This window comes from Homo sapiens, chromosome 1, assembly GCF_000001405.40.
Source record: "Homo sapiens chromosome 1, GRCh38.p14 Primary Assembly".
NCBI lineage: Eukaryota > Metazoa > Chordata > Mammalia > Primates > Hominidae > Homo > Homo sapiens.
In genome coordinates, this window is record NC_000001.11 from 114832993 (window position 1) to 114852084 (window position 19092).

The following is a 19092-nucleotide window of genomic DNA, read 5'->3' on the forward strand; positions in this document are numbered from 1 at the left end:
TTTGGAGGTCATGCAAGCTAGTAGTGTAAAAACAAGTATAAATCTCAGGGGATATCTGTAAGGGAGCCTGTGTCTTTGCTGCCACATAAACACAGTAAGAGCTGCGGAACACAAATAACAGGGAGTGTGTGTTTAAGAAGCCATGTGGCATGCAAAGTGAAAGCAAAAGAGGCAAACTTGCCCCTGTGGTGGATGGTCTGGTGGGTGTGTAAGGTCATTTCTGAAAACACACAGAGAAAATAGGAGAATAGGCAGTATGGGTTCTTGGAAAGAGCTGATTTTAGTTGAAAAGGCAGAAGAAACCCCAGACATTGCCCGGTTTTAGGCTTTAGCCCTCTCACTCTTGAGAGTTTCCTGTCCAGAAGGGCCATTAGTGCCTCAGTTCTACTCGGTGTGGACCCCAAGTTCCTTCCCACCCCTATGAGCCAGGGTGAACTGAGAGATCAGCACGGGGAGCAGACCACTGTGGCTGAGAGGTACAATTCTGGGTGTTAATTTGTAAGCAGGAGAGGGAAAGGGGAGAAGAAAACAGTGTATGGGGGTTAAATGTCTCCAGATGAAGAAGGCAAGGCATAGAGGTGTCTTACCACTGGGGAATGTATCCAAGTCACGTGGCACCAAATGTGTCAGCAACAGATCATATCCGAGTCACACAGCACCAAAGTATACCAGTGGCGGTGAATTTGCATGGGTCTGCAGCAACCTCAGTTCTTGCCTCCTCAGAAGAAGGAATTCAGCTGAAGGGCATAGGGTGGAGGAGAGTCTGAGGCAAGTTTTAGAGCAGGAGTGAAAGTTCATTAAAAATCTTTAGAGCAGGAATGAAAAGAAGTAAAGTACACTTAGAAGAGGGCCAAGCAGGCAACTTGAGAGATGCTGTTTGACCTTTGACATGGGGTCTTATACATTGGCATCCTTCTGGGTTCTTGTATCCCTTCTCCCCTGATTCATCCCTTGGGGTGGGCTGTTTGCATGTGTAGTGGCCTGCTAGCAGTTGGGAGGGGAGCACATGCAGTGTGTTTACTACAGTTGTATGAATGCTCACTTGAGGTGTTCTTTCCTTACCAGTTGAATGTCCCTAGAAGGTCATATACCAGTTAAACTCTGCCATTTTGCCTCTTAATTGCGCATGCTTGAGCCCACTCACCTTACTCCTGAGATCTTATTGGAAAGCTGCTGATCAATAGCTTCTCCTGCCCTGCTCATACCGCCTGACTATCTACTGTAACTGAATTAAATAAATTGGTGTTTAGAGATGAAAAAATCAACATTTTCCCAATTAAAGTGTAAATATGAATGTCTTGTATAAATTCTGCTAAATCCTTAGTTTAAAAAATAGCATTGTACTTTCATCAAACCATACTGATCTGATAACCACACTTTCGAATAGTCTCCAAAAATTTTGTTTCCTTCATGTTTTACTCTGAAAAGCCCAGCATTGACTGAAAGGAATGAAGCAGTGAGAACTGGACCAGAGAATGGCAAATACTTATGTCACTGCATGTGATAGGTATTGTCTTGCTGAACCAGTCAGTGCATTGCTATGATATGTGACAAAAAACTACAGTAAAAAATTGTTAATAAGACTTTTTTGTGAGAATTATGGTTAATTACAGAGATTTAAAAAATAAATTAACAAATGAACAAAAGACTGTAAATTATTCTCTATGAAAGAAAATAATTAGCTTCAAAAATCAATAATACTAAAATATTGTAAGCCAGAATGAAAGGTAAGGAAGGAAAAGCACAATAGTCTAAAACTGTGTTCAGTTTTAAAAAAGAGAATTAACATGCAAATTTGAAGTTATTTTTATGGGTTGGCTCAAACTGGTTTTCATGCAATTTAGTAAATGCAGTTCGCAATAGATTTTCACATGCTTGACATTTTAATCTTAACATAAGATTCTTATAAAAGGTAAAGAGAAAGAAAACAGAATGCAATAGAAACAGGAATTTTTTTGCAAAAAGACTAAGATTATAATATAAATTTAATCTTAAATGCAGCTTTCTTTTATAGTTTGAACTCTGATTTCCATGCCAACAGAACATCAGCCAGTTTTCTACTGTAGTGAAAAAAAGACGGTCTTATTTGACAGTCATCCAAGAAAGGTCCTCTTCTTCTTTTTTTTTTTTTAAAGAAAGCTACGTTGTTTTACTGTTAACCTTCTTTCTTATATAAGGCTGTCATTTGGTATTCATTCAACATTTAGCATTGCTTTGGATACTGTAAGATTGTAAATGATTTATGTAAATTAATTAAAATTATGATGTTTACCAATCTTGGTGGCAGAATTTTGAGGATAAGAATAAGTCTAATCATCTAATGATTCAGCACCAGGGGAAGCACACATATTAAAGACATTGAACAATTAAGTATTCCTGGATCCTTCTATAGCCAATTTTGAAATTTTAAATTTAGTAGTTCTCCTGAAAGCAGGAAGTAAGTTGGTGTTTGGGAGCTTCTGATAATAATGATATACATTATGTATCATTTTATAATATATACATGCTTTTAATTACGTATAGTCATGTGTCACTTAATAACAGGTGCTGCTTACATACGTTCTGAGAAATGCATTGTTAGGCAATTTCATCATTGTGTGAATATCATGGAATGTACTTACACAAACTAGAGAGTATAGCTTACTACATACCTGGGCTCTATGGCCTAACCTATTGCTCCTAGGCTAAAACCTGTATAGCATATTACTGTACTTAATACTGTAGGCAATTGTAACACAATGGTAAGTATTTGGTAGATTATTCTAAACATAGAAAAGGTTCAGTAAAAATAAGGTACAAAGGATAACAAATGATACACTTGTATAGGGTACTTATGAATAGAGCTTGCAGGACTGGAAGTTGTTCTGAGTGAATCAGTGAATGAATGGTGAGTGAATGTGAAGGCCTAGGACATCACTGTACATTACTGTAGAACTTATAAATACTGTATACTTAGGCTACCCTAAAGTTATAAAAAATTATTTTCCTTCTTCAATAATAAACTAATTCTAGCTTACTGTAACTTTTTTACTTTATTAACTTAATTTTTTTAGCTTTTTGACTCTTTGGCAATAATACTTTTCTTAAAACACCAACACATTGTACAGCTGTATGAAAATATTTTCCTTATATCCTTTTCCTATTCTTAACTTTTTTCTATTAAAATTTTTTAAAACCTTTAAAACTTTTTTATTAAGGACAAGACACGAACACATGCATTAACCTAGATTTACACTGGGTCAGAATCATCAGTCATCTTCCATCTCCATATCGTTGTCCCTCTGGCAGGTCTTCAAGGGCAGTAATACACGTGGAGCTCTCATCTCCTATGACAACAATGCCTTCCCTGGAATACCTCTTGAAGGATCTGCCTGAGGTTGTTTTACAGTTAACCTTTTTTTTTTTTTTTTTAATAAATAGGAGCACACACTAAAATAATGATAAAAACTATAGGATAGTAAATACATAAACCAGTAACATGGTTGTTTATTATCATTATCAGGTATTATGTACTGTACATAATCGTATCTGCTATACTTTTACATGACTGGCAGCACAGTAGGTTTGTTTACACCAGCAGCACCACAAACATGTGAGGATGGTTATGACATCACTAGGTGACAGGAATTTTTCAGCCCCTTTATAATGTTATTGGACCACTGTTGTATGTGTGGTCCATTATTTACCCAAATGTCTTTATGCAGTGCATGACTATATTTCATTTCATTCTTACAGTGACCCTGTGAATTAGGTAAATTTACTCAGATAAACAACAAAATTAAAAAGAAACTAGTAATTTAAATCTGGCTACAAATGGCAATGAAGGGCATTGAGATATAGCAAATGAAGAGTTCAGACAAAATTTTTCTTTTGTTTGAAATAAGCAGATAACTGGTAAAAGTGTATTTTAGTTTGATTTTTTTTGCGAGGTAGTGAAATAATTTATTAATTCATATTGTTCTTGACCGGAATACACTGAAACTAATTGTATCCACAAGGGAAATGCAGAAGGTGGGGAAAACCTTCTTCTGTTCCAAACTCTAGAACATATTATTTTTCACTTGAGGGAGAATGGATTGCTATGTAAGCTATGAGCAATGATTACCCTTTCTTATAGCTCCTGAGCAACCTCTGCATACCTCTGGGATTGTAGCATTTATCATGTATCAGTTGTTTACTGTCTGTCCATCATGCTGGACAGAAAGCTTCTGGGATGTAGTGGATATGTTGAACTAACTTTGCTTGTTGAGATTAAACACTTTGAAATTTGAAAACTATTAGGAAATTTTGACTTTTTACCATTTGTTCTTTTTCATGTTTTAAAAACTAGATATTTTACCAGAACAAATTAGTTATCAGCTGCATGACACTCATTTTAAAAAATCACCTTATTGCCAGTATTCTATTGCTCAGTTTCCTCCAGCTTTACAGTCTGAATCTTTATAAAATCATTTCAACACTTATAGATTGGATCCACAGGACAGTGATGGTGGACAGTGTGGATTTAGTTCTCGTGAATTAAATAAACCCACTTATGTGGTTGCTCATGATGCTGAAGATGGATACCCTGGAATAAAAAGGTCCAGACCAACCTATTCTTCCTCGAGAAATAAGGGACAGGAAGAATTCTGTGTAGTTTGTGGTGATAAAGCATCACCATCACCATATCATTATAATGCACTTACCTGTGAAGGTTGCAAAGGTAAGGATAAGATTAAAATAAAATTGAAATCTTAGTACAAAATTTTAGGCATGTGAGAATACTCTTACTTTTTAAAGTATGAGAGTTAAAACCAGGGAAAGCCATGCTGTGATTAAATGGATCAGTCTGTGGGATCAAAGACATGAAAATGGAATGAATGTAAAGTTTATATGTAGTGTTTTTTTCATTTTTCATGAGGACTCTTACATTTAATTGTATAATTTGATATTTATAGAGTAGAAGGTTTCCATATTCCTAGATCAGTCTCCTGTTGGAAGAGAAAATGATGTTTTAAAAGATCTGAATGTTTACTATCACATCCTTTTATGTGGTTGCTATAATTCATGCATTTGGAGGAAATTTGAATTGAATGACTTATAAGATTCTATATTTTTTAACGCTTTGCAAAAACAAATTAAAGGTCCGAAAGTGAAGACCATTGCATTTTCCAAGAGTGAAACAGTCCTTGATAAAATTTGAGGTTTTGAAATACTCCTGCATGGCTTTTATTAAAAAATGCAGTTTGGGGACAGAACTTGTGAATGATTAGGTCAATATAGTGGGAAAACATGTCTTGTAGAGGTTCAGAGTGAAGTTTCACTGTTAGAATCTTACAATTCACCCCTTACAAAGAATAGCTAAATGAAGACTATGGGAAATGAAGTAACAGCTTTGTGAATAGAATAGCTGGGCACATGTTTACTTACTCTTGAAATGCAGGGCCTTGCTATTAAAACTAGATTGACAAATGAGACATAGTTCTGGAAACCAAAGCTGAACTTTTTACTCTTTTTGTTGAATCTAAATCATGAAACTCCCACTCTCAAGTGTCTATGGAAAAAGACGATATGGCTGGACTTTAAGAGGGATATTGACTAAGTTTATTGACTTCACTGCTTGGAATGGAAGAAAAAGATAGCAGGGATTATTGCATAAGAACAGGAATTGAAGGAGGAAATATGAAGAGGAACTACTATGCATGGATTTAGAAAGTGAAAGAGAGAATGTAGACCTCCCCCTCCCCCTGCCAAACATGGCCCCCTCAATATCTCAGTCCAAATAAACTAGCAACACTTTCTCATCTGGGAAAGTGCTAAAAAAGAGACATACGTAGGGAAGTAAGTTTGGAAGAATACTTCTTCCTTTGTGGGTTGAGTGGAAATGTGAGAGAAGAAAAAAGATTTTCTTTATAGTTTTATTTTACATGACCACCTATTCTTTAAAGGAAGTCTTGAGAGATGCTTCTTTAAATCTTGATATTCTGTAAAACATAGTTTTAAAAATGCTTTTAGCTGATATAACCACAGTAACATAGAGAGTTGACTTAATGTAATAGAGCTATTGAGTTTAATTTCCAGATGTGATTACTGAAAGGAATAACCTTGGAATAGAAAACATGAATCAGGAGAGGGTTAAGACAACTATCCAGATAAATGTATATCAAACGATCTTATTGAGAGAAAAAACATTTTATTGAAATAATTTAGTTAACGTGATTAATATGAAGGCATATATTAATAAAAATAATTAACTAGAAATACCTATGGTAAAAAATTTTAAAACTTTTTTATTGGGTTTTTTTCAATGTAGCATCAACAAAATGCAGTATATAGTTGCAGGAATGGTAGTCACTGTGAAATGGACATGTACATGCGTAGAAAATGTCAAGAGTGCAGACTGAAAAAGTATAAGGCAGTAGGAATGTTGGCAGAATGTAAGTGCCATGTGTTTTGCTTTTTTCTGAGGCGGATTTTGATTTTTTTTACCTTACTGAGAACTTAATTTTGAATGTCTACTTATTTGTTTGGATTTAAGCTATTTCTCTAGCAAACTACTCAATTTGGATGGCCAGTTACGAATGTAAGTAATTATTTCCATAGACCCTGCTCCATATTATCTTGCTCTAATTTTGGAAATAATCACATTTTCTTCTTAATTGAAAATCCTTGTATTTTCATGTTACTTAACCTAAAGTCATGTATTGCATCTAGAAAGAGGACAATTTTAAGTCAGTAGTTTCCAAAAGCTTACAAGATACCTAGTTATGTAGCATCTGCTGGTAATTAACACACAAGTGTTAAAACTCAACTCTATAGGCAGAAGAGTATGTAATCTTTTTGAATCCCTTCTATGTTCACTGTGTTTTTTGCTTAGATTATATGATGTTATTTAATCCTTACAGTAGTACTACAATTTTGACATAATTTCCTCAATTTCTCCTATTCCTTGTGGCTTACTTTTTTAATTAATTTTTTTCTTCTTTCCCTCCCTCCCTCTTTTTTTTTTTTTTTAGACAAGGCTTGCTCTGTTACCCAGGCTGTGAGTGCAATGGTGCAATCACAGCTCACTGCAGCTTCCACCTCCGGCCTTAGCTTCTCGAGTAGCTGGGACCACAGGCACATGCCACCATATCTGGCTAATTAAAATAAAATTCTTGTGTAGAGATGAGATCTTGCTTTATTGCCCAAACTGGTTTCAAACTCCTGGGCTCAGTGATCTTCCCACCTCAGCCTTCCAAAGTGCTGGGATTACAGGCATCCCATCATGCCCAGCTAATTTTTCTTTAAAGAGTACTATTAATGTTTTCTTTTCATGTCTAATCTAGCCTTGTTCAAACTCTTATTATTTTGCATTTATGCTATAATATTAGTTTCCTGGCCATTTCTTCCTTCTCTCTTTTTGGTCAATCTATCTTTAGCTGTCATAATAATCTTCATTTTTTTATTAAGCTATACTCTTGTTCAATAAATGCCCATGCAATATTCCTTTTATTTCATACTGATTATTATAAAACCCAATCTCTCTTGTCAAAGTTCTTCATCAAAAGGATTCATATTACTTAAAATTTCAGATATGTTATAAATCTTAAGGTTATCCTGTCCAACTAGCCTGAATCCTTCACTTTAGCCCTGTTTTAGTTAGCTTGAGTTGCCATAAGAAATACCATAAACTGGGTGGTTTAAAAAGATATTTATTGTCTTACAATTCTGGAGGCAGAAGTCTGAGATCAGGGTGCCAGCACAGTTTGGTTCCGATGAGGGCTCCCTTCCTAGCTTGCCGATGTCTGCCTTCTCTGTGTGTCCTTACACAGTGGAGAGAAGAAAGAGCAAGCTCACCAGTGTCTTTTCTTAGAAGGGCACAAATCCCATCACCAGAGCTCCACCCCTCATGACCTTATCTAAACATAATTACTTCCCAAAGCCTCCATCTCCAAATTCCATCACATTGAGGGTTAGGGCTTCAATATATGAATTTTGAAGGATACAATTCAGTTCCTAGCGATCCCTGGTAAGTTGTCTTTTAACCTATACATGAAAACCTATGTGAAAGGGAACTCATTTTCTCCCAGGACAATCCATAAATGAAATCAGTCCTCCTTTCCTCTAAACTTGAAGGAATTATTCCAAAATTGAAAAAAGAGAACCTATATGAGTGTTGCTGTCATGGAATATGAATATAAACATTATTCAAATGTTATTTATATGCTTTCCAGTCTCCCACTGCATCTTTCTATGCCTCTCTCTCTCTCTCGTTTATCCTTCTACATTTGAATTCCTGGCTGTCCGACCCCATATTCTAGGTAAAAGGAGTTTTCATCAGGAAAGCCCTGGATTTTTATGTGGCTTGGTTTCATTCCATAAGCATACAACTGAAATGATGGAACTGGAAAAAGATGAACCAAAAGTATTAAATACACAGTACATTCCTATCTTCATAGAATACAGAAGTCCCAGTAAAGTAATCGGCATATCATTAAAACTTTGTGATTCCTATGGAGTACACCAAGCTAGTACACTTGCTTCTCAAGCATTTGGTGCCTATTTATCTGAGAGGTGTGTTCACAGAACAATGTGCATATCTCTCTAGACTTAGGTCTGCTTAAATCTATATGTGTCAAATAAAACACAGAACAATGGAGATATTTTATTTGAAAGGCGCACTGCAAGTGGGGAAGGGACTTTTGCAATAGGGCAAGGGGGACTACTGCAATAGGAAGAATGCTGTAGTTAAAAGATACACAAGCAATTCAAGAGTTAGGCAAAAAAGAGTTTTATAGAAAGGAATAAATAAAGCTAGAAAGAACTGATTACAGAGTAGGATAAAAAGGTGATACGATCAGATAATGTATCAGAGAATGTTTTACTCTGAGTCTAGCCTAGTCTCAGAAAGCTATGTTTGCTGGCTCAGGCTTAGGGTGGATCAAAGTTTCAGGGCCTGGAGCAAGAAATGAAGGTTAGCCGAAGTTTTATTGATACATATTTTGTTTTGATTGATCAGTGGGGATAAAACAGTTAAGATAATCATTCAGGAAGCAGAGAATGTGAATTTGCATGGTCTGTGTCTGCCTTTGTCATAGGTAAACAAAGGGGCATCCACGAGTCTTACCTAAGTCAGATTGGGAAAGGTAGTTCTTTGCAGGAAGCCATTTTCCAGAACATAGAAGGATGGGAAGCTTCCTTTAGCTTTCGCTATTTTATATGAGCATGGGACTCAGGTAAAATTTGAAATTGTCAAGACCTAGTGATTTGAGGGTTGCCCCACGTTTGCCCTAAAGTAATGCATGACTTTGTTTTTATGATCCTGCCACCATTACCATAGATATTCATACTACACTCACCATTAAATTGAACTAATATACTTTTTTTTTTCACTTTCGTAAGTAATTATAGAAGCCTGTGCAAACAGAGCTTGTACGACATTACTTTCTTTCCTTTGGAGTCCTAATTCCCTTGCCATATGATGATACTTTAAGTATCTGAATATAGCTATCTTGTTCCTCATGAATTCCTTTCTCTCATTTTAAAGTATCATGTCCATTACCAAACATGGTAATCAAACATGTGCAAAGCAGAGTGGAATTCAGTCTTTATAGGTACTATGGGTTAGGTATATTAATATAGTTTAAGAACACATTGGCTTTTAAAGGTGGCTGCTCTGTAGATCCCTTTTTCTCTGTTTTAATCTCAGCTCAATCTTATTGGCTGCTAGTAAGGCTGGACCCTGAAACTATTATCTCATATTGAGCTAAGTAAGAGTTGACAGACTACCTCCTTTTGCTTGTACATGTACTGCTATTAATTTACTGTTATTAACCAGTTCAGTCTACAAAGTTCAAAAGTTGTATGCCAAGGACAAATTTGATTTATTAGCAAGAGTGTGCCCTAACCACACTCTGAGGTATGATTACCGTAGGATATCCCAGGTAGTGGAAGTTATTTGAAGTCAGATGAGTTGTAATGTCATGGTTCCAGATTATTGGTGAATTAAAATCCTAGCCAAAGGTTGCAGACATAGGAGACCAAGTCCTCTACTTTCAGGGGAGCTGGTGAGATCTAAGAATGTTTATAGGCCACTAGAAAAATAGGTTAGGGCTCAAGAGAAGGTTTCACTCTCACTGGGGAGCTGAACAGAAAGCTAATAAAAATAAAAAATAGAACCGACCATTTTCCACATGTCTTACTTAATTCTCACTATAACCACAATGAAATACGCATTTTATCATTCCATTTTATGGATGAGGAAAGCAAGTCATAGAGTCACATAGCTAACTAGGTGGTAGAGCCAACATTCAAATCCAGGCATGCTGACCAACTCCAGTATTGGTTATGTTAAACATTATGTGGTGCTACAGTCAGAAATACAATGTGTGTGACTGTGTCCCCCTTCATGTTATTCAAGATTGGTTCAAAAACATTGCAAAGCCGACCCTGCAGGTTAAAGATACTAGCACTTCCTGCTAAAGAGCATTGGAAAAGTCAGGGACTGACATCATGTGCAGGTCTTAATATCTATCCTCAGTAAACTTTTCCTTTGTTACATTTCAGCATAATATTCAGTCTGAAGAGCTTTAAAAAATTTTTTTTTGTCATATGATGTTTGGGTTATTTAAGATAACATTGACAATTTGATCCATAATGTGGTTTAAAATATTGTCTAGAACTAGATGAAATATGAAACCTTATGACTTACCATTAAAGATATTCTTATAGACTGGCATTCATCTATTTATCAACTTTCTTTGAATATGGTTCCTCAAGTAGTTATTACTTTACACCAACAATCTTGAATCCAACCTACATCTCCATCCTGGCTCTAAGCATATATTAAGAGGACTTGTGAAATGACGTGTTAAATTCCATATATACTTTGTCTAAAGTATTTCCTTGATCTTCCATTCTAAGAATCCTGTCCAAGACAGAATTGAAATTAAGCTGACATGATTAGTTGTTCTGTTAATTTATACTGGGTTTCACTGATTATTGCTTTTCCTTTTGAGTTTCCATAAACAAATTGTTCAGATGTAGTTTGTATGAAATTTATCTTTCTGCCTCTTTTTGAAAATCATCATGAAGCCTTCTGACTTCTAATGACATTTCCCTTATTATCTGCTATTCCTTCAATATCAGACTATAGTTCAATTCTATAGAAACTAATGTTTTTCAGTTGAAGAGATATAAATGCATTAAGAACACTTGCCTTTAAAGAATTTTTTCACCCATTTAGATGACGATTTTATTTTGTGCTGTCCAAAAAGGTTGACTTGTTTCCTTTAAGTTGTCGTCAATGTTACATACAGGCACCAAGCTGTGAGTCTCATTTCTTGCTTTGGATGTAACTAAAAACATGCCCTTTTCCCATATATCATGGACTCCATTTTGACATGGCTCCTTATTTTTTTTCTTTTTCTTTTTCCTTTTTTTTGAAAGGACTCTTTTTCCTTTTTTTTTGAAACAGACTCTGTTGCTCAGTCTGTGGAGTGCAGTGGTGTGATTACAGCTCACTGAAGACCCGACCTCCTGGGTTCGGGTGATCCTCCCACCTCAGCCTCCCGAGTAGCTGGGACTACAGACACATACACCACGTCTGGCTAATTTTTATATTTTTTGCAGAGATGGGGTTTCACCATGTTGCCCCGGCTGTTCTCAAACTCCTGCATGGCTCCTTTCTTTAAAGGAGTCTATAATTTCTCTTTCCAAACAGTTAATTCTTGTTAATTTGAAATCTTTCCGGAGTTGAAATTCTTTACCACCATTTCCTCTTGTGCCTGTGTAAGACTTTATGAATTTATTTTTCACCCTTTCATGACTTATCTTCACTTCTCTGCCATTCCCTTTTCCTTTAGGGTACTCTTCTTTCTCATAACTAAAACCTCTTTCGAATATACCTCTTTAGTAAGCCTCCCCACAATTAATTCCCTCTGATTCTAATGACTCCTTTTCTTTATATAATTTTTGCATTTGTGTATTCAGTTCTAATTATTTTAATATTTGATATTCCTTAAATGGCTTCATATTTTGATATATTCTTGTTTCCCAACAAAATAATGAAATAATTTAGAAAAAGGCTAAGGCTTTTGTTTTTTTTCTACCTCAGCTCCTGATATACTTTTTATGTGATTGGTATGTTTTAAACACTTATGAAAAAATGACGAACATAATAAATGATAAAGATTAGTATTTGGTTAGTTTTAGTAGTTGTTTACAACAACTGTTGCTCTTCAGGTAGAAGTTCTAGTTGAAGATTCAAAGATGTGTAAAGGTGGCAAGTCAAAAATAAAAATTGTTCACTTTATAAAGAGTGTCCACTGCCTTGTCTTGATTATAAGAAAAAAATTGACTGAGCTGATTTTGAACACCACAAGATACTCTCTTGACCGTATGATGTAAAAATCAAAGATAAAAGCCTGTAGCTAAGGTAGTTCAACTGCTTTATGAGTTGATATTTTATGTTGTTTCCAAAATATAATTCATGTGAAAATTGTTCTAATATTAAACAGTCTAAATTTATAATTTGGAGATTTAAAATTAATGTATAATTTATGTCTAGGATCACTGTGTACTTTTAAGTAGGCAAGATAGTTGTGGAATGAAAAGGAGAAAGTAATGTAGTAAATGTAATTGCTATGTACATACTTGCCCAAAAGAAGGATTCTTTGTAAAAAGACAAGTCTATGATGATATATGTATATATACATGTACAATATAAGAGAATTTTAATCCTATCATGTTATCTGTCATACCAGAAACATTTTATATGAATTTTGTAATAACACAGGTTTGCTCACAGAAATCCAATGTAAATTAAAGAGACTTCAAAAGAACTTTAAGGAGAAGAATCATTTTTACTCTAACATCAAAGTGGAAGAGGAAGGAGTAGACCACAGTTTTCTATCATCCACCACTAGACCTGGAAAAGTGGCAAGGCTTTTCTTATAAAATTTGTTTCTTTAATTATGGTGTTTTGTTTAATAATTATGAATTCTATATTTATAATTTTCCTCCTATATTTTCTTATAGATTCAGGAAAGCATGGAACTAACTGAAGAGGAACATCAGCTCATTAATAACATTGTGGCTGCTCATCAAAAATATACCATTCCTTTAGAAGAAACAAATTTGTATGTGTTCATTACTGAAAGAAATAATGTATAATTATGTTAGGAAACAAAGGCATAAGCATAACAGTTTAAAATTTCAAAAGATACTTGAAAAAATAAAATTCATTAATCTTATTGCTTTTTTATGGGTTAGCTGCAGGAACATACAAATCCTGAACTGAGCTTTTTGCAACTCTCAGAGACAGCAGTCCTACACATACGTGGGCTAATGAATTTTACCAAGGGGCTCCCAGGTAATTACCTTTGGGAAAAATTAATTTAATACTTAAGTTAATTTTATAAAAAGTTCCCTGTTTTAAGGGAAGTGGATATTTTAGGAAAAGGAAAAAAACCCTCTATTTTTTCACCAATGTTTTGTTTCTTTTTTCTTTTTCTTTTTTTTTTTTTTGAGACGGGGTCTTACTCTGTTGCCCAGGCGGGAGTGCAGTGGCATGACCACGGCTCACTGCAGCCTTGACTTCTCGGGCTCACGTGATCCTCCCACCTCAGCCTGCTGAGTAGCTGGGACTATAGGCATGCACACCATGCTCGGCTAATTTTTGTATTTTTTGTAGACAGACGGTTTCACCATTTTGCCCAAGCTGATCTTAAACTCCTGGGCTCACAAAGCTGCCTCTCAATGCAAAAACGTGTTTATTTTGTCTGCTTTAATCAGATGGGTGAAAATCTAAATATTAAAAAATACTGCTCAGAGAGTAGAATTCAGATAAAAGAGGCTAGGAAGAGTAGTGTGGTGAGAGGAGTAAGGATGGTTAATGGGTACAAAAATATAGTTAGAATTAATAAGATCTAGTATTTGATATCACAACATGTTGATTACAGTCAACAATAATTTATTGTACATTTAAAAATAACTAAAAGAGGCTAGTGCAGTGGCTCACACCTGTAATTCCAGCATTTTGGGAGGGCCCAGGCAGGAGAATTACTTGAGCCCAGGAGTTTGAGACAAGTCTGGTCAACACAGCAAGACCCCATTTCATCAAAAAATTAAAAAAATCTCAGGCCTGGTGGTGTGTGCCTGTGGTCCCAGCTACTCAGAAGGCTGAGGCTAGAGGATTGCTTGAGCCCAGGAGTTCCAGGTTGCAGTGAGCTGTGATCACACCACTGCACTCTAGGGCGACAGAGTGAGAACTTTGTCTCTAAACAACAACAACAAAAACCCCCACAAAACTATAACTGGAATATTTGTAACACAAAGAAATGATAAATGCTTGAGGTGATGGATACCCATTTTCCCTGATGTGATTATTACACATTGTATACCTGTATTGAAATATCTTATGTACCCCATAAATATATATACCTGCAATATACCCATAAGAATTAAAAATAAAAAAGTGAAATTATTAAAATGACTTCAAAGACTTGAGAGTTAAGACAATCAAAAGGTTAATTGCTTATTTTTGGAAAATGACTTTTTTTTTTCTATAATGCATGTAACAAAGAAAATTCCCTGTACAATACTGAAAAATCAAACCGCTGTTGGCCAAAACTTAGCTATCTATTTACATGTACAGATATCTCATCGTAAACATAAATTCTTCAAGGCTAAATCAACTATGTTTAATTTGCTTTTGCCACAGGAAAAATATTATTCAGTTCTGATAAAAGTGCCCCAAAATATTACCATGTGGAATCAAGAATTTATTTCAAATTTGAAATAACATATTATGATTATTCTAAGGGAGCATTTAGGATTCATACTATTATATGAATAATTTAAAATGTTAAAATACTACATCTGAAAATTATCTTTTGATTATCGATTTCAAACAATTATGTGATCTTCTCTTTAAAGGATTTGAAAATTTGGCCAATGAGGATCAAACTGCACTACAGAAGGGATCAAAAACTGAAGTGATATTTCTCCATGGGGCCCAACTTTACAGTCAGAAACAATCAGCCTCTGAAAGTAAAAATGGATTTTTTTCTAACTTTAATGTTAATAGTTACTGTTAAATTTAGCAACAAATTGTATAACATTGAGCTATTTTTTATTTTAATTTTGCCAGTTACTATAGGCAAAATTACTTAATAATAGCTCTTCATAAAAAGCTATAGTTTTATAAAAAGCTATTTTTTATTATATAGCATCATGGAAAACACATTTTTGGAGGGTCTCCTATACAATCTTTCTATAAACTAAAAACTATTAATTTAACTTCTTGTTTCAGTAATAAAAATTATAAATCTATCATTTGCTGGGAGTATTTCTGATCTAACAACTATGCTGGATTCTGAAAGATTGAGTTTAAAGATTAGAAAAAAAATCAGGCTTTATATTTTTCCTTTTTACTAGGTTCTGTGAGAATATTAAATCATTCAGATTATACACCAAATTGTCACAATAGGAGTGGTGATAGAAGTCTTATTTGTTCTATGGAAAAATTTTACAATGAAGAATGTCCTTCTACTACTCTAATTGGTAATATGACTCAATATGAAATATTATATTGGATGCAAAAATTTGTATATAATGTTTAACTTTCTTATACTGCTTTGAGATACAATGATAATTTCCATATGTTTGATTCTACCCTATGTTTGGATGAAAATACATTTTCGTATCAGTTTTTTGGGTGTTACTGAAGAATTTATTACACACTGTTTTACTTCTACAAAAGAATGAGCAAACTTGATGTAACTAATACTGAATATGCTCTGCTTGCAGCAACAATTGTTTTTTCAGGTAAAAACTTTTTTTCAGGTAAAAACCATTCAGTGGTAAAAATCTGTATTACATTTGGCAATGAAATGATGAGGTTTGTGGTTACTAAATTATTAATTACAGCCAAATGTACCAATTTTGTTTTATCACAATTTCCTTCTCTACAGGAGCATTCCTTTAAGCTTATATACATGCTATAATTTTTTGCAACTTAAAAAAACGCTTTCTTGACCTCATATCCACTTTCACCTACTCTTATTTCTCTGTTCCACTTTACAGAAAAAAATTTCTTTAGAGGGTTGTGTATACTCCCTTCTCCATTCCTTTTGTTAACTCCTAAACCCTCTACAGTAAGATTATGTCCTCTCCTCTCCACATCACCATAACCAGTCAATATCTTTGGGATCTTGGCATTGCTGATTCCAGTGGTCAATTCCTAGTCTTCAGCTTACTTGACCCATGAGCTACATTTGACAGATCACGTCCCCTCTCTTAGAACACTTTCATCACTTGGCTTCAGTTGATCACTTCTTCCTTCTTGACATGCATGTTTTTTTCTTGATTTCCAAGACCCCACACACTCTTGATTTTTCTCCTTAGTGGTTGCACTTTCAGTTTATTTTGTTAATTCCTCTTCATCTCCCACAGAGACAAATGACAAGAATATTCCAGGGCTCAGTTCTCTTTTTTCTGTACTCACTTTCTTTGCAATTTCATCCTATCTCATGGCTTTAAAGGCCATGTATATGCTGACCACTCCTAAATTTATTATATATACCAACCTGGAGTGCTCTCCCAAACCCCATTAAATAGCCTATTCAAGATTTTAACTTGGATATCTAGTAGGCATATCAAATTTAACACGCTTGAAAGTGAATTCCTAGTTGCCTCCCCCTCCATCCTTCTATATTTGTTCTCCATCTCTGCTAAATGGTATTTTCCATCCTTGAAGTTGTATAAGCTAAAATTTTTTGTCATCCTTAACTTCTTTCTTTCTCTTATACCCATATCAAATATACCACAAATCCCACTGGCTCTGCTCTCAAAATATATCCAGAACTTAACCAGAACTTACTATTTCTATCTTTACCATCCTAATTTAAACTACTCTCCTAACTGGCTTTTTCTGTTTCTGCCCTTGCCTCTCTACAGTCTATTCTCTATACAGGAGCCAGAGTAATTCTTTGAAAATGTAAGTCAGATCATGTGATACCCCTCAGCTCATAACCCTTAAATGGCTTCCTATTTTACACAGATTAAAGCCAAAGTTCTTTTCATCATTGCCTATTACTATTCCTTTTGCTTATTCCATTCCAGCCATGCTGCTTTTGACGCAGATATTCCTAAAAAATTTCAAGCAGGCTCCTGGTACAGGTTCTAGTGTATTTGATAAGTCTTCTGCCTGGAAACCTCTTTCCCCAGATAGTCACATGACTCCCTTATTCACCATCTTAGATTTCCGCTAAATGCCATTTTATCTCTGATTCGCCTTTGAAAAATTAGTTACCACCCCTTACCCTAAATTCTTATCCTCCTCCCTGTTTTTTTTCCTCTATAACACACCACTCTGCTATATTACGTTATTACTTTAAAAAATGTGTATATGTCTCTTTCCTCCCCAACTGCTCTCAGACCCAGAATATAAACTCAGTGAGGGGAGAAAATTTTGTCTGTTATGTTCACCGCTGTATCGCTAGCACAGTGACTGGATGGATGAATGAATGCTGCCTAAACATTAATAAATTATTGATTGGCTCTTATATTTTACAGCTGGATACTTGAACAACTTTGCCTTTTATTTACTGTTGATCTTGGGAAAATTACTGAATTTTTTTAAGTTTCAAGTAAGCCCTTGGCTGCTTTTATATTCTTTTTTTTTTTTTTTTTTTTTTTGAGTTGGAGTTTCGATCTTGTTACCCAGGCTGGAGTGCAGTGGCGCAATCTTGGCTCACTGCAACCTCTGCCTCCTGTGTTCAAGTGATTCTCCTGCCTCAGGCTCCCGAGTAGCTGGGATTACAGGCGTCCACCACCACACATGGCTAATTTTTCATATTTTTAGTAGAGATGGGGTTTTACCATGTTGGGCAGGCTGGTCTCAAACTCCTGACCTCAGGTGATCCACCAGCCTCGGCCTCCCAAAGTGCTAGGATTACAGGTGTGAGCTACTGCTCCTGGCCCGGCTGCTTTTATATTCTTATAACTACTTACTGACCCTTCCTTCCTATGTAACTTAGTGGAAATTACTTAATTTTCTAGGTTTCAAGAAGCTCATCTGGAAAATGGTGATAATAATAGAACTTACCTCATACAGTATTGTGACTACTACATAAAATAATACATAGAGGCAAGTCACTTAGCATAATATTTAGCATATATTAAGGGCTCAGTAAATATTTGTTTTTTGTTATTTAAAAGCTGCATTGTTTTAAAAGATTATTTATCTTTTGCTACTTTCCAATATACATTAAGATAAATATGATGATATTTTTCAGATCGTCCATGCCTTAAAAATAAGCAATATATGGAAAATTTATAAGAACCAGTTTTACAAATATTGTATAAGTATTCAAAAATGTATCATCCAGAAGACCCATAGCATTTTGCCCATCTCATATGGAAGCATACTGAACTGAGAACTCTGAATTATAACCATTCAGAAATACTTAGCACTTGGAAAACAAAGGACCCCAAATTGGCTACTTTACTCTCTGAGAAGTGAAATTTGTATTCTTGCTGAAATTTTAGAATGTTGTAGTTTGTTTTAAACTTCCTAAATCTGAATTGTTTACCATATAGGATGACTTTATCATATAGGATGACTTTATCATATAGGATGACTGATTTGGACAACATGAACGGTATTGCTGTGTTACCAATATATGACCGTAAAATGGACATCATCAATGCTCATCAAAATTTTATGAAAATTTTGTGGAATATAGAACTATCACTGAGGGATATCTAGGATTCTTTTTATGATTGGACTCAAAAGAAGCAAAAGTTGTTTCCTCATGTTTCCTTCAAAAGGAGCCAGAGAGTTATTACCTGAAGAAGCTTCACTTTTTTCATTCAGTAAAACATTGAATGAAAATATATAAATTTATGGATATAAGAAAGGCTAGCTAGTGCAAACAGTTGTAATTGAAATAAAGAGAGTTTGGCCGGGCGTGGTGGCTCACACCTGTAATCCAAACACTTTGGGAGGCTGAGGCAAGTGGAGCACCTGAGGTCAGGAGTTCAAGACCAGCTTGACCAACATGGCGAAACCCCGTCGCTACTAAAAATACAAAACAAAATACAAAAATTAGCCAGGCATGGTGATGC

General features: G+C 35.0%; 1 pseudogene, besides 1 other annotated feature; it reads left to right on the top strand.

Moving 5' to 3' along the window:
* Positions 1464 to 18552, top strand: NR1H5P (nuclear receptor subfamily 1 group H member 5, pseudogene; annotated as a pseudogene).
* Positions 16147 to 16347: a silencer, noted in NCBI's record as "peak384 fragment used in MPRA reporter construct". NCBI's record gives its function as "represses an SCP1 promoter by STARR-seq MPRAs in K562 erythroleukemia cells {active_cell/tissue: K562}" and the evidence as "EXISTENCE:reporter gene assay evidence [ECO:0000049][PMID:32103011]".